General features: G+C 41.7%; 1 protein-coding gene, 1 long non-coding RNA gene and 2 pseudogenes across 3 annotated transcripts in view; 2 read left to right on the top strand and 2 right to left on the bottom strand.

The window, feature by feature from the left end:
• LOC105376844 (uncharacterized) overlaps positions 1 to 24,702 on the bottom strand; it is a 59,955-nt gene that overhangs the window by 26,578 nt on the left and 8,675 nt on the right. The gene's annotated exons all lie outside the window — the stretch shown is intronic.
• Positions 1 to 24,702, top strand: part of LRRC37A3 (leucine rich repeat containing 37 member A3) — a 65,349-nt gene that overhangs the window by 36,291 nt on the left and 4,356 nt on the right. For both annotated transcript variants that reach the window (NM_001303255.3, NM_199340.5), the window contains 5 exons: positions 14,022 to 14,093; positions 14,652 to 14,726; positions 20,170 to 20,288; positions 22,215 to 23,746; positions 24,305 to 24,409. In NM_001303255.3, the coding sequence (NP_001290184.1) occupies positions 14,022 to 14,093; positions 14,652 to 14,726; positions 20,170 to 20,288; positions 22,215 to 23,746; positions 24,305 to 24,409 (1,903 nt within the window). The remainder of the gene's footprint in view (positions 1 to 14,021; positions 14,094 to 14,651; positions 14,727 to 20,169; positions 20,289 to 22,214; positions 23,747 to 24,304; positions 24,410 to 24,702) is intronic.
• On the bottom strand, positions 297 to 12,303 carry LOC102929163 (ARF like GTPase 17A pseudogene; annotated as a pseudogene).
• Positions 11,404 to 11,684, top strand: RN7SL404P (RNA, 7SL, cytoplasmic 404, pseudogene; annotated as a pseudogene).

Here is a 24,702-nt window from a genome sequence, read left to right as displayed (position 1 = left end):
GGAGGACATTTATTTGCAGGGCATCCAAGCAAGAAGGACCAGGCGGCTAACTATCAAAGCCCCTCACTGAATGGGGGCAATAATCATATCTCTTACAGATGAAATCATGAATGAAATGGTTTATGGAAAAGCAGCAATGGTTGATAATCCTAAATGTTAAGTATGTTTATATTTTTTCCCTGACTTTAAAGTGCTTCTCCTTCATTCCTATACACAGGTCCAGACTGATGGCTTATTTTTTAAAATTCTCTTAGTCACTTCATTGGTTCTAACAATAATTTTAGAAACTGGATGACTTTGCAATGTAGAAAGGCTATACTTTATTCAGATAGAGTACACTCACATATTGGCTTGTCTATGGCACATCGATATCATGCCAAGAATGTAAGCACTAAGAATAAGAGGAAAATCCAGGCTTTATCCCTATTGAATTATTTATCCCACTATTAGAATATTAGTGAGGTAGGTGTGGCCACACTGTGATGGCAAATTGAGCTTCGGTCACAAACATGCCTTACTGTTCCCCCCAGTCTACTGACATCAGCTTCCTTTACATAGCGGTAGATGCACAAAAGTTTGCACAGTTGAGGGTATTGTCATCATGTTTTGGTATGTACTGGAATCCTGGCAGCTTCTTCTCTGATTCGGAGAGGTGCAAACATTAAAGACAAAAAGAACAACTCGAGTCTGTCCTTTGGGGTGATTTAGGGTGGCTGTTTAAATTTGTAGTGGTTGAAAAGTCTTGAGATTGTCACACCTAACAACTCTTATACTTTTCTTCTCTCAGCTGCAGCTTGTTCTTTTCACCTGTGTAACAAGCTGTCTTCTCTTCTCACAGAAGCTTAGCATTTCTTCCTCTGCCCCATAGCATTTTTTCAATACTTAATTTACCAGGTGCTGTTTATGTTGTAGGCACCTAAGTACTTATACAAGTGAGATAACATGTCCGAAGTTCTTAGAACAGTGCTTGGCCTATGGTAAATGCTCCATACATGTTACCTCCTATGATACCTCATTTTCATTTTTCCAACAACTCTTGCGATGCGGTTATTATTATCATTTCTATTTTGTAGATGAGGAAGTTGAAACTCAGAGACGCTAGGTAATTTGCTAAGGTTCACACGGCTAATAAGTGGCAGAACCACTTACAAGCTTTGCAAATAATTTTCAATGCAGCTCTTAGTTCCCCTGTAATAGGAGCTGAATGATGACAATTTGGCTTTGTGTGCATTGTATCTTACTTTCTAACTTGAATAGGACCTGTAGAGCAGTGAGCTCCACTTCCCTCTGAGAATCCCACGCTTCTGGAGCTCCTGGCTGTACCAGCTCTGGGCATCCCCAGGGTTTATGCTCACCGGTCAGTGCTGGTGTGACATGATGGCTGAGCACCGGCACTGTGTCCAGCGCATTGCTAGGCACTAGACGTGCTCTTTCATTTATTCCTCAAATTGCTTTGTGCTGTAAACGCTACCCAGAAAGGCTCATGTTCATTACTCAAGTCACTTCACCAGAAAGTGACAGAGCCAGAATTCAAACCCAGGTCTGCCAGATTCCAGGTCCCTTGCTTCTTCTGTTGTTGCTCATTGCAAGGGAGTCTTCTTCAAGGTTATTCTCAGGACTTTGATTAAGATACAGGCTCACAGCTGGGCATGGTGTCTCATGCTGTAATCTCAGCACTTTGGGAGGCCAAGGTGGGTGGATCACTTGAGCTCAGAAGTTCGAGACCAGCCTGGCCAACATGGTGAAACCCTGTCTCTACTAAAAATACAAAAATTAACCAGGCATGGGGACGGGCATCTATGATCCCAGCTACTCTGAAGGCTGAGGCAGGAGAATCACTTGACTCCAGGAGGTGGAGGTTGCAGTGAGCCAAGATCACACCACTGCACTGCACTCCAGCCTGGGCAACAGAGTGAGACTTCATCTCAAAAAAAAGAAAAGAAAAGAAAAGAAAAGAAAAAGGCTCACTGTTTCAGATTCTCTAGATTTTGCCCCTGAAAAAGCATTTACGTGATGCAGTCCGAGGTCTTGTATGGAGGAGCTTGGTGTGGGGAGATGTGTGGCTCACGAACCTATGTAGATGAATAAAGGAAAGAGGTTACTTTCTCCCCAAGTACATCGCGCATATTGGGTGAGGGTCTAGGTCATCTGCTTATTTCTTTGACTACCTTCTTCCATGGAACCAGTTTTCCCTGACAGCCTTGGGATTCTAGCATAGATCATTTTGGAGTTTGTCATTTAAATTTATTTTCACGGCCTGCTTTGGACATTTTTTCAGCTAGAGCTGTTAGAATTTCAGTACATTTAAGACAGTGATGACATGCTCCAGTCCTTTCATCTCTGTCTCCTCAGTTAATAGAAAGGAAACATAGCCCATCTATCTGGACCTGTGTAGAAGAATTTGGAGGGGAAAAAAAAAAACAGGCAAGAAATGTTCCCTTATTTTGTGAGCTACCTTTATTCTGTCCCATTGTTCTACAGCAAAAGGCTTATATAAAAATATTTCAGTTTTCCTCATCTAATAAGGCATATTTAATAAAATTATTTAGAGCAGTACTTCTTAAACTTTTACTCTGAGACAGTCTTTGAGGCTGAAAAAAAGCTTGCCACATTTTACTCCCATAAAGATACCAAAAAGTCGATGGACTGGGAGTCAGTGCACCTTAGTTTAATGTATAAAATGAAGGACTTGAACCAGAAATGGAAATGATCATCTACTGTGAATCTAAAAACACTCGAGGCTGGGCGCGCTGGCTCATGCCTTTAATCCCAGCACTTTAGGAGGCCAAGACAGGCAAATCGCTTGAGCCCCTGGAGTTCAAGTTCAGCCTGGGCAACAAAGTGAGACCCCAATCTCTACAAAAAGACTTTTAAAAAGTGGAAACATAAATATAAATAAATAAAAGCATTCATATCATTTGGTTTGTGGAAAAGAGTTGCTGTAGAGTCCTCAAACTTGAGCCGTTGAGCCAGTTCCCACTCAGTCTCTCCACGGCCCAGGCACAACCTTAGTCAAGAAAAGAATGCCTTAGAACAGGAGGAAAATAGGATAATATCGAATGGCCCTATATTTTGATTTCATTAGGGACAAATGCAAAGATCCTAATGTCAGCTGGAGAAGAGCTTCCTAGTTCAGAGGTAATGCTGAGCTCAAGGCTATGGATGAGCTATCAAGAAAGAGGGAAGGTTGGAGAGTGAGAGAATTTTGGAGGAAAGATAACAAACTTTGCTAAGTTGTTTGGCTACATACTGCCTTACAGTCATTATTTTTGGTGTTTAAGAAAAAATAGAAACAGGGTCTCACTTTGTTACCCAGGCTGGTCTCAAACTCCTGGGCTCAAGCTCTCCTTCTGCTTTGGCCTCCCAAAGTGCTGAGATTACAGGCTTGAGATGCTGTGCCCAGCCTACATTCATTTTTAATAGCTGGGAGGAAAGTGGGCAGAGGAAGATATAGAATGAGGGGGTAGCCGACTTTGTACAGAGCCCACCAGTGGTCTTACAAGTTTTCATGCCAAAAAAAATCACGAAGGATATTTAAAGCCCTAGTTTGAGAATCCATACTTAACCAGTCATGTGGCACTCACATTCTTTCTCTTTGTAACATCATCTTATTGAATATTAGTGTTACAAAACAAGTTAATGGCACTGAAAAACCATATGGAATAGGAAGAGGAGGGGGATCACAAGGCAGGACAAGCTGTGTGGCTCCCAGCCTCGCCACTGACTCACTCTGATCTTGGTCAAGGGAGAGTGAATCTTCACTCCTCTTTTTTCCATCTGCCAGCATGTTTGGTCTTCTGGCACCTGGTGTTCTATACAGTACAACATGCTTCTTTGTGTTACATTGAGACTTGATCCACATACCATCAACGCAGTATTATAAAGTGTACAATTCAGTGGTGGTTAGTATATTCTCAAGGTTGTATAGAAAACAATCACCATTATCTAACCCCAGAACATTTTCATCATCCCAAAAAGAAACATGGTACCCATTAGCCATCACTCCCCAGTGCTGTCTTCCCGCAGGCCCAGGTAACTACTAATCTACTTTGAGTCCCTATGGATTTGCCTATTCTAGATCTTTCATATAAACGAATCATACAGTATGTGGCCTTTTGTGTCTAGTTTCTTTTCACGAAGCATGTTGTTTCTAAGGTCCTCCCATGCTGCAGCATGGATCATTCCTTTGCAAGGCTGAGTGATATTCCATTGTATGGAGCCATCACTATATCAGTTCATCCATTCATCACTTAGTGGACATGTGGTTGTTTCTACTTTATTTTGGCTTTTATGAATAATGCTGCTATGGACATGCATCTACTACTTTTTGTGTGGACATGTTTTTAATTCTAGGGTGCATCCCTAGCAGAATTGCTAGATCATATGGCAACTCTTATGTTTAACTTTTCGAGGACCTGTCAGGCTGATTTCCACAGTGGCTGCTCCATTTTACACTTCCATCTGCAATGTTTGAGGGTTTCAATTTCTCCGGGTCTTTGTCAACACTGTCATTGTCTGTCTCTTCTCATAGCCATCCCAGTGAGTGTAAAGTAGTATCTCGCTGCAGTTTTTGATGGACATTTCCCTAATGATTTAAGACATTCAACATTTTTATGTGTATATGAGCCATTTATATATCTTTTTTGAAGAAATATTTATTCAAATCCTCTGCCCATTTAAAAAATTGATTTGTCTTTTTATCGAATTATAGGAATTCTCTATATATTCTGGATACTCTGGATATTAGACCTTAACAGATAATTTGCCAATATTTTCTCTCATCCTGTGAGTTCTGTGACTTTCTTGCCAGTGTCCTTTGATGCACAAAAGTTTTTAATTTTGATAAAATCTAATGTATCTATTTTTCCTTTGGTTGTTTGTGCTTTTGGTGTCATGTGTGTGTATAAAATGTCTTATTCTTCTTTAAAAAGGTTCAGTGTTTGGTTTTAAATCAGGCTGTGTCCCTTTCATCTGTCTGACATTCTTTTCACCATGTCAGGCTGCCTTCAGCTAGTAATACTTCATTAAATTCAAAAGACAAAATTGTTTTAAAAGAAAAAAAATCCAGTTTGGAGAGGAAAAAATTGTTGTCTAATTTAAGGTCATGAGATTTACTCCCATGTTTTTGTGTAAGAGTCTTATCATTTTGGCTCTTACATTTAGGTATTTGACATATTTTGCATCAATTCTTATAATCGTGTGAGATGTAGGGGGTCCACCTTCATTATTTTGCACATAGATGTTCAGTTGTTCCAGCACCATTTTAAAAAAAAAAACATTATTTCCACGTAGAATTGTTTCAGCACCCTTGTCAAAAATCAATTTTCCATAAATGTGAGGGTTTATTTCTGGGTTGTCAATTCTATTCTATTGATTTATTTGTCTGTCCACATTCCAGTATCACACTGTGATTGCTGTGGATTTGATTTGGGTTTTGAAATTGGGACATTTGTGTCTTCCCACTTTGTTATTTTACAAGATTATTTTGCTATTTAGGGTGCCTTAAATTGCATTATTATTTTAGAACTAGCTTGTCACTTTCTGGAAAGAAGCCAGCTGGGATTTTGATAAGAACTGTACTGATAATAGCAGATATGTAATCAACCCAAATGCCCAACCTAACTGCTATGTTATTCCCACTCCAATACTTTGCAATATATGTAGCTTTTTAGAAAGAGGATATGTTAGCAGGGTGCAGTGGCTCATGCCTGTAATCCCAGCACTTTGGGAGGCTGAGGCAGGCAGATCGCCTGAGGTCAGGAGTTAGAGACCAGCCTGGACAACATGGTGAAACCCCATGTCTACTAAAAGTACAAAAATTAGCAGGGCGTGGTGGCAGGCGCCTATAATCCCAGCTACTCAGGAGGCTGAGGTAGGAGAATCACTTGAACCCGGGAGGTGGAGGTTGCAGTAAGCCGAGGTCACGCCATTGCACTCAAGCCTGGGCAACAGAGTGAGACTCCAATGGAGATGGGGTTTCAGCACGTTTATCAGGCTGCTCTCGAACTCCTAACCTCAGATGATCCACCTGCTTCAGCCTCCCAAAATGCTGGGATTACAGGCATGAGCTACTGTGCCCGGCCAATAAATGAAAACTTTTTCACTCAAAAAAACAACAATTGTAGTGAAACCATAGATCAATTTGGAGAATCGTGCTATTATTATCGGCTTCATGTTTACAGAATACTCCGTTGAATTTGGTTTGACAGATTTTGTCAAGCATTTTTCCATCTACATTCATAAGAAATACTGGTCTGTAATTTTTTGTGTGTGATGTCTTTAGTTTGGATACCAGGTTAATATCACCCTCATAGAATAAGTTAGGAAATGTTCTTTCCTCATCTGTATTTTGAAAGACTTTATGAAGGATTGGTGTTAATTCTTCTTTAAGTATTTGGTAGATTCACCAGTGAGGCTGCCTGCTGGTCTTCAGCTTTTCTTAGTGGAAAGTTTTTTGATTACTACCTCAATCTCTTTACTTGACATAGGTCTGTCTATTCAGATTTTCTGTTTTTTTCTCAAGTCAGATTCAGTAGTTCATATTTTTCTGGTAATGTGTCTTTCATCCAGCTTATCCAATTATTAGCATATATTGTATATATGTATAATCCTTTTTATTCATATTATAATCCTTTTTATGTCTCTAAGAACAATAGTAATGTCCCCTCTCATTTCTAATTTTAATAATTTGGTCTTCTGTATTTTTGCAGTGCAGTGGCTCACACCTGTCATCCTAGCACTTTGGGAGGCTGCGGTGGGAGGATTGCTTGACCCCAGGAGTTCAAGGCCAGCCAGGGCAACATACTGAGAGCTTATCTCTACAAAAAAAATTTAAAAGTTAGCTGAACGTGGTGGCACATGCCTGTAGTCACAGCTACTCAGGTGGCTAAGGCAGGAGGATCACTTGAGCCCGGGAGATTGGGGCTGCAGTGAGCCATGATTGTGCCACTGCACTCCAGCCTGGGAAACAGTGAAAACCTGTCTTGAAAAATGAACAGTAAAAAAACAAAATGTTTGTGGCCAGATGCAGTGGTGCATACCTATAATCCCTGTACTTTGGGAGGCCAAGGAAGGAGGATTGCTTGAGGCCAGGAGTTTGAGACCAGCCTGGGCAACATAGTGAGACCCTATCTCTAAAAATTTTTTTTAGTTAGCCGAGTGTGGTGGTGCGCATCTGTCGTCTCAGCTACATCTTAATTTTATAACGTTGTAGTTCAGATTAATTCCAACTTTGTTTCAATGGTATACAAAAACTTTGCTTCTCTAAAGCTCCACTCTCACCCCCTCCTTTATACTGTTATTGTCACACATTACATCTTTATATACTTTATGTTCATCAACTAGATTTATAATTATTGCATTATGTAAGTATCTTTTTGTTTTTTTTTTTCTTCATTTTGGGACAGAGTCTCACTCTGTTGCCCAGGCTAGAGTGCAGTGGCACAATCTTTACTCGCCGCAACCTCTGCCTCCCAGGTTCAAGCGATTCTAGTGCCTCAGCCTCCTGAGTAGCTAGGACTGCAGGCACGTAACACCACACCCAGCTAATTTTTGTATTTTTAGTAGAGACAGGGTTTCACCATGTTTGCCAGGCTGGTCTCAACCTCTTGACCTCAAGTGATCCTCCAGCCTCAGCCTCCCAAAGTGCTGGGATTACAGGCCTGAGCCACTGCGCCCAGCCAGTGTTTTTTATTTCTTTGTGTAGATTCACGTTAGTACTCCTTATAGGGCAGGTCTTCTAGCAACAAAGTCTCTCAGTTTTTATTTATCTAGAATATCTTAATTTCTCTTCAATTTCAAAGGTAGTTTTGCCAGGTATAGAATTATTGGTTGACAGTTTCTTCAGAACTTTGAATATGCCATTTCATTGCCTTTTGTCCTCCACTGTTGTGTGTGGTTGCTTTGTTTTTAGACAGGGTCTTGCTCTGTTACCCAGGCTGGAGTGCAGTGGTGCAACCACTCACATCGTTGCAGCCTCCACCTCCCAGGCTTAAGCAATGCTGTCACCTTAGCCTCCTGGGTAGCTGAGACTACAGGCATGCACCACCATGCCCAGTTTTTTTTGTTGTTGTTTTTGTTTTTTTTAATTTTTTTTATTGATCATTCTTGGGTGTTTCTCGCAGAGGGGGATTTGGCAGGGTCATAGGACAATAGTGGAGGGAAGGTCAGCAGATAAACAAGTGAACAAAGGTCTCTGGTTTTCCTAGGCAGAGGACCCTGCGGCCTTCCACAGTGTTTGTGTCCCTGGGTACTTGAGATTAGGGAGTGGTGATGACTCTTAACGAGCATGCTGCCTTCAAGCATCTGTTTAACAAAGCACATCTTGCACCGCCCTTAATCCATTCAACCCTGAGTGGACACAGCACATGTTTCAGAGAGCACTGGGTTGGGGGTAAGGTCATAGATCAACAGCATTCCAAGGCAGAAGAATTTTTCTTAGTACAGAACAAAATGGAGTCTCCTATGTCTACTTCTTTCTACACAGACACAGCAACAATCTGATTTCTGTATCTTTTCCCCACATTTCCCCCTTTTCTATTCAACAAAACCGCCATCGTCATCATGGCCCGTTCTCAATGAGCTGTTGGGTACACCTCCCAGATGGGGTGGCGGCCGGGCAGAGGGGCTCCTCACTTCCCAGAAGGGGCAGCCGGGCAGAGGCACCCCCCACCTCCCGGACGGGGCGGCTGGCCGGGCGGGGGCTGGCCCCCACCTCCCTCCCGGATGGGGCGGCTGGCCGGGCGGAGGGGCTCCTCACTTCTCAGACGGGGCGACTGCCGGGCGGAGGGGCTCCTCACTTCTCAGACGGGGCGGCTGCCGGGCGTAGGGGCTCCTCACGTCTCAGACGGGGCAGCCAGGCAGAGACGCTCCTCACCTCCCAGACGGGGTCGCGGCCGGGCAGAGGCGCTCCTCACATCCCAGACGGGCATGCCCAGTTATTTTTAAATTTTTTGTAGAGACAGGGTTTTACTCTATTGCCAGTGCTGGTATCCAACTCCTGGCTTCAAGCAATTCTTGAGCCTCAAGCCTCCCAAGGTACTGGGAGTACAGGTGTGAGCAACCATGCCCAGCACCTGCATTGTTTTTGAAGAGAAATTAGCTATTAATCTTATTGAGGATCCCTTGTATGTGATGAGTTGCTTTTCTCTTGCTGCTTTCAAGATATTCTGTCTTTGCCTTCTGTCAGTTTGATTACAGTATGTTTAGATGTGGATCCCTCAGTTTTTCCTACTTGTAGTTCCTTGAGCTTCTTGAATATGCAGATTGTTTTTCATCATGTTTGGGAAGTTTGGGGCCATCATTTCTTCAAATATTCTTTCTCCTTTTTTCTGTTTTTCTTCTCCTGGGATGCTCATTATGTGTACATTAGTAAGCTTGATGATGTGTTCCACAAACAGGTCTCTGAGATTCCATTCACTTTCATTCATTTTTATTTCTGTTCCTCAGAGTCAACAATCTCAATTAACCTTCAAGTTCCCCATTCTGTCTTCAGCCTGCTGTAATGTGCCATTGAGAACCTCTAATAATTTTTCCATTTCAGTTACCATACTTTTCAACTCTAGAATTTCTATTTGACTCCTTTTTATGGTTTCTATCTCTTTATTGATATTCTCTATTTGATGAGACATTGCTTTCATACTTTCCTTTAGTTCTCTAGTCTACAGAACTGAATCGTTTCTCTTATCTCTTTGAACATATTTTAAATAGCTGAATTAAATCCTTCTCTAGGCCAGGCATGGTGGCTTGTGCCTATAACCCCAGCACTTTGGGAGGCTGAGGCTGAGGTTGAGGCTGAGGCCAGGAGTTCAAGACCACCCTGGGTAACTTCGCAAGACCCCACCTATAAAAAATAAAAAAATCTTTGTCTAGTAAGTCTAACATCTGGTCCTTCTCAGGGACAATTTCTGCTTATTTCTCCCCCAACCACGTGTTTGGGCCATACTTTGTTTCCTTGCATCTTTCATAAATGTTTGTTAAAAATTGAATATTTTAAATAATATAATGTAGCAATTCTGAAAATCAGATCCATGCTGCCAGGGTTTGGTGTTACTCCTGCTTGTGTTAGTAGTTGCTATTTATTTAGTGACTTTTCTGAACTTCTTCTGTAAAGTCTCGCATTATATGTCATGTGTTCCCACTAAAGTCCCTCCTCGGTTAGCTTACTGATCAGCTAATGATTAAATGAAGATTTACTTAAATCCTTGGAACTGATAAGTCTCCTAGTTTTTGCCAAGGGGCTCTGTGTACATGTTGGGGCATACCTTCAGCACTCAGCTAGACAATTTACAGCCATGCCTTAGCTTTCACTTCTTGCTTGTGCAGAACCTCAAGGTGTCAGCCAGGGGTGAGAGTTTATGAACTTAGTAGGTCTTTCCTGACCATGCTGACAGTCTGCCCTATGCATGCGCGTGAGATTCCAAATTGCCAGGAATATGTCTTATGGACTTCTAGTTTCCCAAGCATATATCAGTGTGTTTCAAATTCCTGTGGACATCTTATTCCTCAGCTTTTCCTATTAAGCTTTTTGATTAGGCTTTTTTCCCCCAAACTGTTATTCATTGCCGAATACAGTTGCCATGTTCAAACACTTGTCTGTAATTGTTTTCCAAAAACACCCTCTGTGGAGAGGCTTTAGCACTAGACAGCTTTCATTCTGGTCAAATAAAGACAGACCTTTCAAATGAGGTCTTCCAGGGAACCACCAGACAGATGACATCATGACAGTTAACTGAGAATAAGGCTTTGAAGGAGCTCCATCTCCATTCTGCTCCCTCTGGTTGGGGATGTGGGCTGTTTTTCAAGGCGACTACTGAGCTAGAGAGTGAGGAATGGTCTAAGGCAAGTTAACACAAATCTCACTATTCTTACAGAAATTTTTCTTGAATAAATGCTCCTTGGGTTGCTGCAAGACTTTGGTTACATTTCTAGAGTTCTGAAAAAGTTTATTCTGGTCAATTTTTTTTTTTTTTTTTTTTTGGCTATTTTTTTGGTATTTGTTGCTTTTATGAAGGGATGAATTTTTGGATGTCTCTCTTTTTTTTTTTTTTTTTTTTTTGAGACAGAGTCTCACTCTGTTGCCCAGGCTGGAGTGCAGTGGCATAATCTCATCTCACTGCAAGCTCCACCTCCCGGGTTCACACAATTCTCCTGCCTCAGCCTCCCGAGTAGCTGGGACTACAGGCGCCTGCCACCACGCCCAGCTAATTTTTGTATATTTAGTACAGACGGGGTTTCGCCTTGTTAGCCAGGATGGTCTCGATCCCCTGACCTCGTGATCCGCCTGCCTCGGTCTCCCAAAGTGCTGGGATTACAGGCGTGAGCCACCGCACCCAGCCTGGATGTCTTTATTCCACCATTTTCACTGATGTCACTTACGACATGATTTTAAATCTCTGAAGGCTCACTGGGTACATGCCTGTAGTCCCAGATACTCGGGAGGCAAAGGAAGAAGGATCCTTTGAGTCCAGGAATTCTGGGCTGTAGCATGCTATGCTGATTGGGTGTCCGCACTAAGTTCAGCATCAGTATGGTGACCTCCCGGGAAAAGGAGACCACCAGGTTGCCTAAAAAGGGGTGTACCAGCCCAGTTCAGGACTAGAGCAGGTCAAAACTCCCATGCTGATCACTAGTGGGATCATGGTTGTGAATAGCCACTGCTCTCCAGCCTGGGCAACACAGTGAGTGAGAATGTGTCTCTTAAAAAAAAAAAAAGTCTCATTGACCATAGACTAATTAACTATTTAATCATGGGAAATGATTAGGGGAAAGACATAAAAAGAGAAACTGTAATCCACTTTTTTTTGCTCTGTCGCCCAGGCTGGAGTAGAGTGGCTTGATCTTGGCTCACTGCAACCTCCGCCTCCCGGGTTCAAGCAATTCTCCTGCCTCAGCCTCTGAAACAGCTGGAATTACAGGCAAGCACTGCCGTGCCCTGCTAATGAGAAATTGTAATTCTCATAGAGGTCCTCCCAGAGGAGTAGAAGAAGGTTGAAAGGCACTTCTGTATTTAGTCTTCTCACAATTAAGGCTGGGCCCAGTGGCTCACACCAGCACTTTGGGAGGCCAAGGCAGGCGGATCACTTGAGATCAGGAGTTCAAGACCAGCCTGGCAAACATGGTGAAACTCCCATCTCTACTAAAAACACAAAAAATAGCCAGGCGTGGTGGTGCGTGCCTATAGTCCCAGCTATTTGGGAGACTGAGGAAGGAGGATTACCTGAGCTTGGGAAGAGGACGTTGCAGTGAGCCAAGATCACACCACTGCACTCCAGCCTGGTCAATGGAGCAAGACCCTGTTTGGGTGGGGAGGGGAGGGGAGTGAAGGGGAGAGGAGAAAGGAAAGAAAGGAAAGGAAAGAAAATAGAAGGAAGGGGGAGGGAAGGAAGGAAGGAAAAAGAGAGAGAAAGAAAAAGAATGAAGAACGAAAATGAAAATTTTTAAAAAACCTAAGGTTAAAATAAACCCTTTTTCTTCATACAGATTAAACACATGAGTTCAAATTACAGCTTTGCTGCTTAATAGCTTGGTGACCTAGGACAAGTTATATAACCTCTCTGTGCCTCAGTTTCCTCATTTAAAAATAGGGCAATAATAATATCTACCACATAAGGTATTTGCTGATCACAAATACCTGGCAACCCAGTAGATACTCACTGTAATAATTATTATTTTTATAATTTCTGCCTAAGTACAAAGATGATTCTTGGGTTAACCTAAAGGTAGATTTTCTTTTATTTCTTCCTGTTTCTTTTATTTTTCTTGTTCACCTTAAAGAATTAAAAAGAAAATTGATTCCAGCATTTTGGAATAAAAATTTGCATCAAAATCAATTTATTCATTTTATTGACATATGAACAAAATGTCATTTGTTTATTCAATAAACATTTGTTAAATGCCTAATACATTTCAGACATCATGCCAGGCACGGGGATGACAGGGCATGGTGGCGGGCACCTGTAATCCCAGCTACTTGGGAGGCTAAGGCAGGAGAATTGCTTGAACCTGGGAGGCGGAGATTGCAGTGAGCCAAGATTGCGCCACTGCACTCCAGCCTGGGCGACAGAGTGAGACTCCGTCTCAGAAAAAAAAAAAAAAAAAAAAAAATGTGGTCTCTGCCCTCAAAGCGCTCATAGTCCAGGAGCCTGACAAGTGGACAGGTGATTACATGCAATGTAAGAAAGGCTGTGATGTCATACAAGAGGACAAGTGGGAGTATGGTTTTGACCAGTTCTTCCTCTTAGATTTATTCCTTCTTTGGCTATAAAGCAAAATAATTGGTCCTATTTTTTTTTAACTGTGCAAATTAAACCATAAATTTTAAAAACTTTATAAAGATAAAAGACAAGCAGCCAGCCGCAGTGGCTCATGCCAGTAATCCTATCAGTTTGGGAGGCTGAGGCAGGTAGATCACCTGAGGTCAGGAGTTCAAAACCAGCCTGGCCAACATGGTAAAACCCCGTCTCTACTAAAAATACAAAAATTAGCTGGGCGTGGTGGTGGGTGCCTGTAATCCCAGCTACTCGGAAGGCTGAGGCAGAACAGGAGAATCACTTGAACCTGGAAGGCGGAGGTTGCAGTGAGCCAAGATCGAGCCATTGCACTCCAGCCTGGGCAACAAGAGCGAGACTCCATCTCAAAAAAAAAAAAAAAAAAAATAGATGAACAACTTGAATTATGGAGGTTGCTAGAAATACTGTTTCCTCCGCAGTCAGGGCTTCCTACCAACATAGTCACTTTTAGGGTTTTTGACCTGAAAAGTTCTGTGGCATATTTTTTCTTTGCTATCCACTTTTTTTTTCCTTGTAGTTCTTCCCCGCGTTCTATCCTTTATCTTCTAGAGACCTCGGTAGTTCCCATAGGAATAGTGCTTTACGGAGTCTAATGGTGATTTCTTAGGTAAAGACAGGAAACATTTTTTTCTTTTTTACCTACAAGTTCCATACCAAAAAATGAATGTAAACTTTTCATGCAGTTTTACACATTGAAAATGCAGGTTATTTTAATTCCATTCCATTTTTCAGAATTCTCAATCACAATCCTCTGACAACTGTTGAAGATCCATATCTCTTTAAATTGCCAGCATTAAAATATCTGTAAGTACTATAGTACTCTCATGAGTCAAGAGATGATTTATGCTTTTTAAATTTTTCATCAAAGCTTAAGTATTTTGCATTTAGGCTAAAATGTCATAATTTAAATTTTAACTGGGTTATTGAAAAAAAGTTATTGGCGAAGAAAAAAATTAAGAGGATGTATAATGGTCAAGACAGCCAGCAGGGGAAGAGAACAGCATTGAAGAACCCATATAGATTTGCAACATGTAGACACATGGAGGAATATTATTTAACCAAGAAAGCAAAGGGGAAAAGGTGTTCATTATTCTAAAAATAAAGAAAAGAGTAAATAAGATGGTGAGTGCAATATGAAAATGAGAAGATAATGGTAAAAAAAAAAAGTGTAAGTTCTGCTCTTGAGTATCATTAATTTGATGATGCAAATCAACTTTAATTTCTTTAATAAGAGCTCCCTGGAATTCTACAGCAAATAAACTCTTGAGCTGGCTTGTTTAATAGAGAAGCCAAAATTGAATTGTTAAGTACAGAATTTTTTATTGGGGCTCATATCATGAATGTTTCGGCTTTCTTCTTCAGAGACATGGGAACAACGCTAGTCCCACTTACAACACTTAAGAACATTCTCATGATGACTGTTGAACTGGAAAAACTGTAAGTTATTTTTTTCCGAGATTTATTTTTACGTAGTTGTTTCTTTAGGTTTGTTTTATTATTTTCTTAAGTCAGGTTCATTGAGGTATAATTTTCATATAGTAACATTCACGCTTTTTAAGTGTACAGTTTGATGAGTCTGACAAATGTATAGTTACATAACCACCACCACATTCCCAATATAAAGCATTTCTGATGCCTCAAAAAGGCCCCTCCTGTCCCTTTGTAGGCAATCCCATCCTCCCACCATCAGCCCCTGTTAGCTACTAATCTGATTTCTGTTCCTATACTTTTGCCTTTTCCAGAATGTCTTATAAATGAAATCATATAGCACGTAGCCTCTTGTGTTTGGCTCCTTTCACAAAGCCTAATTTTTTTTTTTGTTTTTGAAATGGAATCTCACTCTGTCACCCAGGCTGCAGTGCAGCGGCATGACCTAGGCTCACTGCAACCTCCACCTCCCAGGTTCAAGTGGTTCTCCTGCCTCAGCCTTCCGAGTAGCTGGGATTACAGGCACATGCCACCATGCCTGGCTAATTTTTGTATTTTTAGTAGAGACAAGGTTTCGCCATGTTGGCCAGGGTGGTTTCGAACTCCTGACCTCAAGTGATCCGCCTGCCTCAGCCTCCCAAAGTGCTAGGATTACAGATAAGATCCACCTTGCCTGGCCTCACTCAGCAGAATTTTTTTTGAGATTATGCTACCATCCATGTTGTTGCACCTATCACTACAGCTGGCCCTCCATATCTGCAGGTTCCTCATCCATAGATTCAACGAACCATGGATGGAGAATATTTGGAAAAAATAAAATATATAAAACAACAATACAACAATAAAAACAGTAGAAAATTTAAAATACAGTATAATTATGTACATACCATTTACACTGTATTAGGTACTTAGAGTATACCTGAGGCTGTATACAAACATTATGTCATTTCATAAAAAAGACCTCAGCATCTGTGGACTTTGGTATCTATCTGCAGGGGGTCCTGGAGCCAATCCCCTGCAGACACTGCGGGACAACTGTTCACTCCTTTTTATTGCTGAGTAGTATTCCGGTTGTGTGGAAATGCCATCTCTACTAAAAATGCACAAATTAGGCAGGTGTGGTGGCACATGCCTGTAATCCCAGCTACTCAGGAGGCTGAGGCACGAGAAGTGCTTGAACTTGAGAGGTGGAGGTTGCAATGAGCCGAGATTGCACCACTGCACTCTAACCTGGGCGACAGAGTGGGACTCTGTCTAAAAAAAAAAGTAAGAAATAAAAATGTTTTCTGAAGAGCAGAAGTTTTTAATTTTGACCAGCTTTAAGTTAGCATTTTTTTCTTAAATGGCTTGTGATTTTTTGTTTCTTACCTAAGAAATCTTTAAGAACCTGTTGTCTAATCCAGCATCTAAAAGATTTTCTCCTATGTCTTCTCCCAGAAATGATACACATTTAGGTCTATGATCCATTTTGAGTTAATTTGCATATGTGATGTATCTTTTTTATTTTTTATTTTTTTGTAGAAATGAGGTCTCAGTATGTTCCCCAGGCTGGTCTTGGACTCCTGGTCTCAAGTGATCCTCCTGCCTCACCTCCCAGAGTGCTGAGATTACAGGCATGGGACACCGTGCCTGGCCTTCTTTGCAGGATATATATATATATATATATATAAAAATCAGCCAGGTGTGGTGGCACACGCCTGTAGTCCCAGCTACTAGGGAACCTGAGTCAGGAGGATCACTTGAACCCAGGAGGTGGAGGTTGCAGTGAGCCAAGATGGCACCACTGCACTCCAGCTTGGGTGACAGAGCAAGACCCTGTCTAAAAAAAAAAAAAAAAAAAAATATATATATATATATATATATATATATATATATATATATGTACGTGTATATATGTATATATATATATATGTACGTGTATATATGTATATATATGCCTGCAGGGCCCTATTGTGAGTTTGTTACACAATTTACTGCAACTTCAATTGTGCCACCAGCCCCCACAATATGGCAAGCTAAATAGAGACTCAGTTATGCTAGGGCTGGTTGAGGGCATTATGCAAGATTAGCATGGAAAGGGCCCTTCATTTAGCACTCTGCTCCGTTCATTTTTGTCAGGTCACTTTCTTATCTTCACCAGGTTGTCAGATCTCTTTTACTGCTCTAGCCTCACTTTCCTCAGCCTCCTGTAGCATCTTCCCCGTCAGCTGGATCCCTTCCTCTCTGGATGAAGTCCCCTTCATCGACCAGCTTTCTCACTTAGTTCTCTAAGATAGTGAGGATCTGTCTGCTTTTTTCTTGACCATTATTGGATAGGAAAAATGCTCTCATCCTCTGTAATGATTTGTCACCAAGGCCATAAAGACATTGAACTAACTGTCTTATGGGAGTTCATTATTGGAAGTCTTCAGGAGTTTACACATTTATGTACAAAGTAAGTAGGCCAGCTCATTTGAGTCTTGGCTCATGTGTAATGATCTTTCATGTGTATTGAAAAATTATTCTCAAGTATACCTCAGGTCATTTACAGTCTCAAAGATTTGTCAGTATACTTTAAAACAATCCTGGGAACAGTTCTAGATTGAAGGAGACTAAAGAATCATGTACTAAATGTAATGTCTGATGTTTGATTGGATTCTGAATTTTTTAAGCCATGTTATGATTGGGACAATTGTGAAAATGTGTATACGGACCGCATAGTAGACAATGATAATATGAAGTTCCATTGAGTGATGACAGTCCTCTGGTTATGTCGGAGAATGCCTTGGTTCTTAGGGGCTGCACACTGAAGTCTTCAATGGTGAAGGGTCATTATGTCTGCAACTGACTCTCAAATGGTTTTGTCCAGAAAATGTATAGACATACACACACGGAAAGCAAATGTGGCAAAGTATTAGCAACTATTGATTCCAGATGAAAGTTATACAGGTGTTCATTATACCATTTGAAAATGTTTCCCAGCCATCCTAAGGCTTAAAGGAAAAAAAGAAAATGTTTAAAATAAAAAGTTGGGGGCAGAAAAAGAATAACAAAAATTTTGGGCTCATGCCTGTAATCCCAGCACTTTGGGAGGCCAAAGAGAGAGGGTTGCTTGTGCCCAGGAGTTCGAGACCAGCCTGGACAACATGGTGAAACCCCATTTCTACAAAATATACAAAAATTAGCCAGGTGTGGTGGCACACACCTGTAGTTCTAGCTACTCAGGAGGCTGAGGTGGGAGGATCACTTGAGCACAGGAGACAGAGGCTGCAGTGAGCCAAGATTGCACCACTGCACTCAGCCTGTGTAACAGAGTGAGACCTGGCCTCAAAATAAACAAAAGAAACACCTTTGTGGCAGAGGTAAAGTTGCTATATAACAAAATGCTGGGTTACGGTTCCGGGTCCATTCCATATGAAGATCAGAGGCTTCCACTGGACCCAAAGGAATAATACTAGTCACTTGTGATTGTTCCTTTATAGGTTTGAAAGATGTGTCAGGCCAACTTATTGGATGCAGTTTTAATCTAAAACTCTATACATTGTACCCCCAACTCATAGACTTCTTGTATCCATGAAACCCTCTTCTGTTTCCACAGTCTTAATATGGCCCCAATAAAGCCATCCTTTTGGAGGACTCAGAAAAGGCCCCCCACAACCTCTGCAACACAATAATTATAGTTAACTCTTATTGAGCACTCACTGTGCACCAGGCATTTTTCAGGTATTGATTCATTTGATCCTCAAAATTCATTAGAGGTAGGTACTATTATAATGACAAGGCCAAGGAACAGAGATTAAACAATTTGCCCAAATTCACATTATTAGCAGAGCTGAGATTGAAGCATAGTCTGGCTATGGAATCTGTATTCTTAATGACCATGCTATACTGCCTAAGATTAACCTTTTACTTCAGTTACAGGGATTGTTTTTATCTCTCTGAAAGTGCCCCCAATAAGCCACAACAATAAATTAATCAGTTGTCTCGGTTACCTCTTTTGCCCAAATTTACGTATTGAAAAAAATTCAAACAAGCCAGAAAGATGAAAGAATAGTACAGAATCCAATCAAAGATCAGGCACTGCATGTCATGTCTTCATTTCCTTTAATCTAAAACATGCCTCTACTTTCTTTGCTCTTTCATGACATTGGCATTTTTTAAGAGTCAAAGATAGTTGTCTTGTAAATTGTCCCACAATCTGGATTTGTCTGTTTCCTCATGACGAAATTCAAGTTAAGCATTTTTGGGAAAAATACTGCATAGGTGATGTATTCTTCCTGCCTCGTAACCGCAGATGGCCTGTAATACTAAGTTTGATCACTTGACTAAGGTGATCTTCCAGATCTCTCCATTGTAATTATTTTGCTGGGTACAGTGGCTCCCACTTGTAATCCCAGCACTTTGGAAGGCCGAGGTGGGAGGATTGCCTGAGCCCAGGAGTTCTACACCAGCCTGAGCAACATGGGGAAACTCTGTCACTACTGAAAATACAAAAGTAAAAAAAAAAAAAAAAAAAAAAATTAGCTGGGCATGGTGGTGCAAGCCTATACTCCCAGCTACTCAGGAGGCTGAATTTGGAGGATCCCTTGAGCCCAGGGGGGTTGAGGCTGCAATGAGGTATAATTTTGCCACTGTATTTCAGCCTGGGTGACAAAATAAAAATAAAAATAAAAAATAATAATTTTCCCCTTGGTAATTAATAAATAATCTGTGGGTTGTTACTTTGAGTTCAGTGAAGATCCTGTTCTCAAATGTCTTTTCACCCAAATGTGCATCAATGATAATCCTTGTCTGAATGAATTTGTATTGCACTGACGGTTGCAAAGTGACACTTTTAAAAATTCTGTCATTCCTTCTACATTTACTAGCTGGCATTATTTCATTGAAGAAGAACTCCCCCTCTTTCTTTTTCAATATCACTCTTCGTGGATTCTTCTTTATATTAAATATGTTGTAACTTATTGTTGTTATTCTTTTGAATGCTCAAATTGTCCAGATTTGACCAATGCAGTCTTTGTTATTTTTTAACTCCGCAATCCAGGTTAAACTAAGCTATTTTTAATGCCCAGAGTAATTTATAATATTTCCCACTCCCAACAGGAATTGAGAAAGGGACTCCGGAAGTTGGGGGCTTATTCAGACTTCTTAAAAGTCTACCTTCTTCCTCTGTACTTTCAGCCCAAAGTGAGACTTTTGAGTTGGGAAGAGATACTTCTGAAACTACTAATCACTGTCACCCAATTCTAATCCCAACCATCTTTATTCTAGGCATACCATACTCACTGCCATGCTTACCCTTCAGTTGGGCACTTTTGTCCTCCTTCCTATTGGCCTTCTGGTTCCTACCCAACTGTCCAGTCCACAGGCTTCAATGATACCTTTTTCCCACCCCTGTGGTAGTGTTGGCTGCCTCCTTTACCTACTCAAGTAACCGCTTTACCGCTAATTTATTGCTCTCTGTTTTCATCTATAGGATCGTACCTAGCCATATGGCCTGCTGCCTCTGCCAATTTAAAAACAGCATTGAGGCTGTCTGCAAGACAGTCAAGCTGCATTGCAACAGTGCATGTCTGACAAACACCACACATTGTCGTGAGTCCAAATTGCATGGTGATAAATTGTTACATTAAGTATTTGTTTTTAAACTTTTTATTTTTAATGATGATAAAATTTTAAGCTAATGACATAATTGCTTTATTTTTATTTACTCATTCAGAGTTAAACTCCCTCAATTTCTGAACTACTCCCTTGCTGAGAGTCAGGTTCTCAGTTACTATTACAAAATTTAATAATAGAACTGTTCCATATGCACAAAGGACCAAGACAAAGGAATGGGAAGGCTAGGGAATAACATTAACATCCACACACTGTATACTGTGCTCTCTGCTTGATGCTTTGCCCACAGTGATAATTTCTTCATATAGTGCAATGTAGTTTGTAAGCTGGTTTTAAATCCATGAGATCTCAAGTACTCTCTGCCTTATAGGACAGATGTAGATACGGTTTTGGTCTTTCTGTTTTTACAGTTTTATAAGAGTACAAGTGATGCTGTTTTATTTGAAGCCTGAGAGCTTCTGGTTCCATAACCAGAAATTGCTACCTGGCTCTTCTAATGGAATGGAGGGCTTTTCCATTCTTAGACCATCCAACTCTGAACTTGCTCCGAATCTCAAACCTTTCTGTTCACAAATGCTCAAGGGCTTTCAAGAGTATTTTTGTAGATTAGGTTTATTAGCATCAACTTCATGACTTCTAAAATGTGACTGCTTTCATGTCCAGATAGCTTGAATACAGGTATCTACCAGTGATATGGGGTGGATAATTAATAATGCTTGGTTACATAAAGTCAGTGTTGCTTATTTTTCAAAACTTTTTTTTTTTTTTTTACCAATTATGTTATTCCCTTCTCCCCAAGAAGCGGGCAGAAAAGCTTTGTTAACCTCCTTTTACAGATGAGGAAAAACAAGATCAGAGGTGCTAAGTGCTGTAGCCTAGTGTCAGGTCTTCTGGCCCCAATTCTGGGTTCTCCCCAAGCCCATGTTTCTTCCCCTTTCTCACAATCTTTACTTCTTCCTCTGACCCTCACCACCACCCAAAGTACTTTTAATTCTGGAAAAGAAACCCAGCTGCACACTGGCACACCTGACCTTCATGCAGTCAGAAGCTTTGGATGATTCCCCATCCAAAATATTAGAGATGAAATGAAAGCAAAGTAAGCATCTGACAAAAGTTGCTTTTTCCCTTCTGCATTTTAGGACCTCAAGTAATGTTTATCCCGAAACTGCTATCATACCAGAGATTCACTGTGTATTTAACAACATAGGCATACAATCTGGCAAATTTGAAAAACTCTTAACATACACCCCAAATCCCTGCCCAAATTTAAGAACTAGGGTGGACACAGTGCTTTTTTCCATGTCGCATCTTCTGTGATGGGGCTACCACACGTGGGAGCAGAGAATGGGGTGGGTGGAGCGCATGCCAGATGAGGATCTGTCAGCAATGGGAGGGGGCCTCCACTTTAGCATCTCCACCCTGCTCCTCTCAGAGGACCGCCTTTCATTGCATTCAGCTGTGATGGTAGCAAGAACACAGGTGCACCGAGGACGAGGTGAGCAGGAGCCTTGTGCTCTCTCTGCATCTGAGGCAGGACAGCACAGGGTACGGAGCAGTCTGCAGAGAGGCCAGCTCATCAGGGAAGCACTTGTCTTCCACCTTGGGCTTTGACTGAGCACTGGGCAATTGGCCTCTGGGGATCAACGAAATAATCCTAAACAGAGTTACTCTATGTCACACTATGGAATGTTCCAAGTAGGTGGCCGTGTTTTCAAAAGATGTATTTTCTCCTTTTGTTGTTGCCATTTCATAGGTTTAGGATTGAGTGTGTGTTTCTCCTCTCTGAATGGCACTCGAATGTTTGCTGACTCCTACTCTGTGTGACTGGAGTGTACAGCTATGGACTGATGCATCCCATCCCATCATCTTTCATGATCAAAGCAGTCTCTTCTTTTTTGACAGCTGAAGAAGCATCTGTAGGGAATCCAGAAGGAGCGTTCATGAAGGTGTTACAAGCCCGGAAGAATTACACAAGCACTGAGCTGATTATTGAGCCGGAGGAGCCCTCAGACAGCAGTGGCATCAACTTGTCAGGCTTTGGGAGTGAGCAGCTAGACACCAATGACGAGAGTGATGTTACCAGTACACTAAGTTACATCTTACCTTATTTCTCAGCCGTTAACCTAGATGTGAAATCACTGTTACTACCGTTCATTAAACTGCCAACCACAGGAAACAGCCTGGCAAAGATTCAAACTGTAGGCAAAAACCGGCAGAGACTGAATAGAGTCCTCATGGGCCCAAGGAGCATCCAGAAAAGGCACTTCAAAGAGGTAGGAAGGCAGAGCATCAGGAGGGAACAGGGTGCCCAGGCATCTGTGGAGAACACTGCCGAAGAAAAAAGGCTCGGAAGTCCAGCCCCAAGGGAGCTGAAACAGCCTCACACACAGCAGGGGCCTGAGAAGTTAGCGGGAAACGCCGTCTACACCAAGCCTTCGTTCACCCAAGAGCATAAGGCAGCAGTCTCTGTGCTGAAACCCTTCTCCAAGGGCGCGCCTTCTACCTCCAGCCCTGCAAAAGCCCTACCACAGGTGAGAGACAGATGGAAAGACTTAACCCACGCTATTTCCATTTTAGAAAGTGCAAAGGCTAGAGTTACAAATATGAAGACATCTAAACCCATCGTACATTCCAGAAAAAAATACCGCTTTCACAAAACTCGCTCCCGCATGACCCACAGAACACCCAAGGTCAAAAAGAGTCCAAAGGTCAGAAAGAAAAGTTATCTGAGTAGACTGATGCTCTCAAACAGGCTTCCGTTCTCTGCAGCGAAGAGCCTCATAAATTCCCCTTCACAAGGGGCTTTTTCATCCTTAAGAGACCTGAGTCCTCAAGAAAATCCTTTTCTGGAAGTATCTGCTCCTTCAGAACATTTTATAGAAAACAATAATACAAAAGACACAACTGCAAGAAATGCCTTTGAAGAAAATGTTTTTATGGAAAACACTAACATGCCAGAAGGAACCATCTCTGAAAACACAAACTACAATCATCCTCCTGAGGCAGATTCCGCTGGGACTGCATTCAACTTAGGGCCAACTGTTAAACAAACTGAGACAAAATGGGAATACAACAACGTGGGCACTGACCTGTCCCCCGAGCCCAAAAGCTTCAATTACCCATTGCTCTCGTCCCCAGGTGATCAGTTTGAAATTCAGCTAACCCAGCAGCTGCAGTCCGTTATCCCCAACAACAATGTGAGAAGGCTCATTGCTCATGTTATCCGGACCTTGAAGATGGACTGCTCTGGGGCCCATGTGCAAGTGACCTGTGCCAAGCTCGTCTCCAGGACAGGCCACCTGATGAAGCTTCTCAGTGGGCAGCAGGAAGTAAAGGCATCCAAGATAGAATGGGATACGGACCAATGGAAGACTGAGAACTACATTAATGAGAGCACAGAAGCCCAGAGTGAACAGAAAGAGAAGTCGCTTGAGGTGAGGACTACACAGAAACATGAGACCCAGATTTCCCATCATTTAGCATATCCCAGGAAAGTGCCCACACAGAAGAATCTGGGACTCCCAGGCCATAGCTTATCTTGGCCATGTAACTTTGGTCATGACAGTGATCTCCCACTTTGCTCATGTAGAGAGTGAAATAGATTAGGGCACAAGATGAACTGTAGGCTGGGGGTGGTAGCTCACGCCTGTAATCTCAGCACTTTGGGAGGCCAAGGTGGGTGGATTACTTGAAGTCAGGAGTTTGAGACCAGCTTGGCCAACATAGTGAAAGCCTGTCTCCACAAAAAATAAGAAAATTAGCTGGGTTGATGACACGTGCCTGTAGTCCCAGCTACTTGGGAGGCTGAGGTGGGAGGATCACCTGAGCCCAGGGAGGTCGAGTCTAGTGAATGGTGATTGCACCACTGTACCCCAGCCTGGGTGACAGAGTGAGACCCTCTTTCAAAAAAATAAAAAAGAACCTGTAAGCTACTCACCTGGAATACTGGGGTTTTGAATAGTTAGCTCTCATTCTGGTTTTTTTTTTTTTAGTTCACAAAAGAACTTCCAGGATATGGCTATACCAAAAAACTCATCTTGGCGTTAATTGTGACTGGAATACTAACGATTTTGATTATACTTCTCTGCCTCATTGAGGTAAGGACAATAATTAATTCAGGTTTTCAGAATGCAGTCCTGTCTTTGTGTGGATTCAGAGCTCACAAACTGAAAACCAAAGCCACTTTCCCACCTGCTGCTACTTGACATACTTCAGTCATTTAAGGCTGAGGTGTATGCTTTGTTCTTTTACTGCAGTGTATATTTCAGGATTTTTAAAGGATCCTCGCTTCCAGATCTCTGTGAATTGAAACCAAGTTAATCCCACTAGACTATTTTAAGAAGTGGATATAATAGCAAAATTTCTCCCACCCAAAACTATGTCAACAATT

This window comes from Homo sapiens, chromosome 17 (assembly GCF_000001405.40).
Source record: "Homo sapiens chromosome 17, GRCh38.p14 Primary Assembly".
Lineage (NCBI taxonomy): Eukaryota > Metazoa > Chordata > Mammalia > Primates > Hominidae > Homo > Homo sapiens.
The sequence above is the reverse complement of the archived record's forward strand: the minus strand, read 5'-3'. Positions and strand labels throughout refer to the sequence as shown.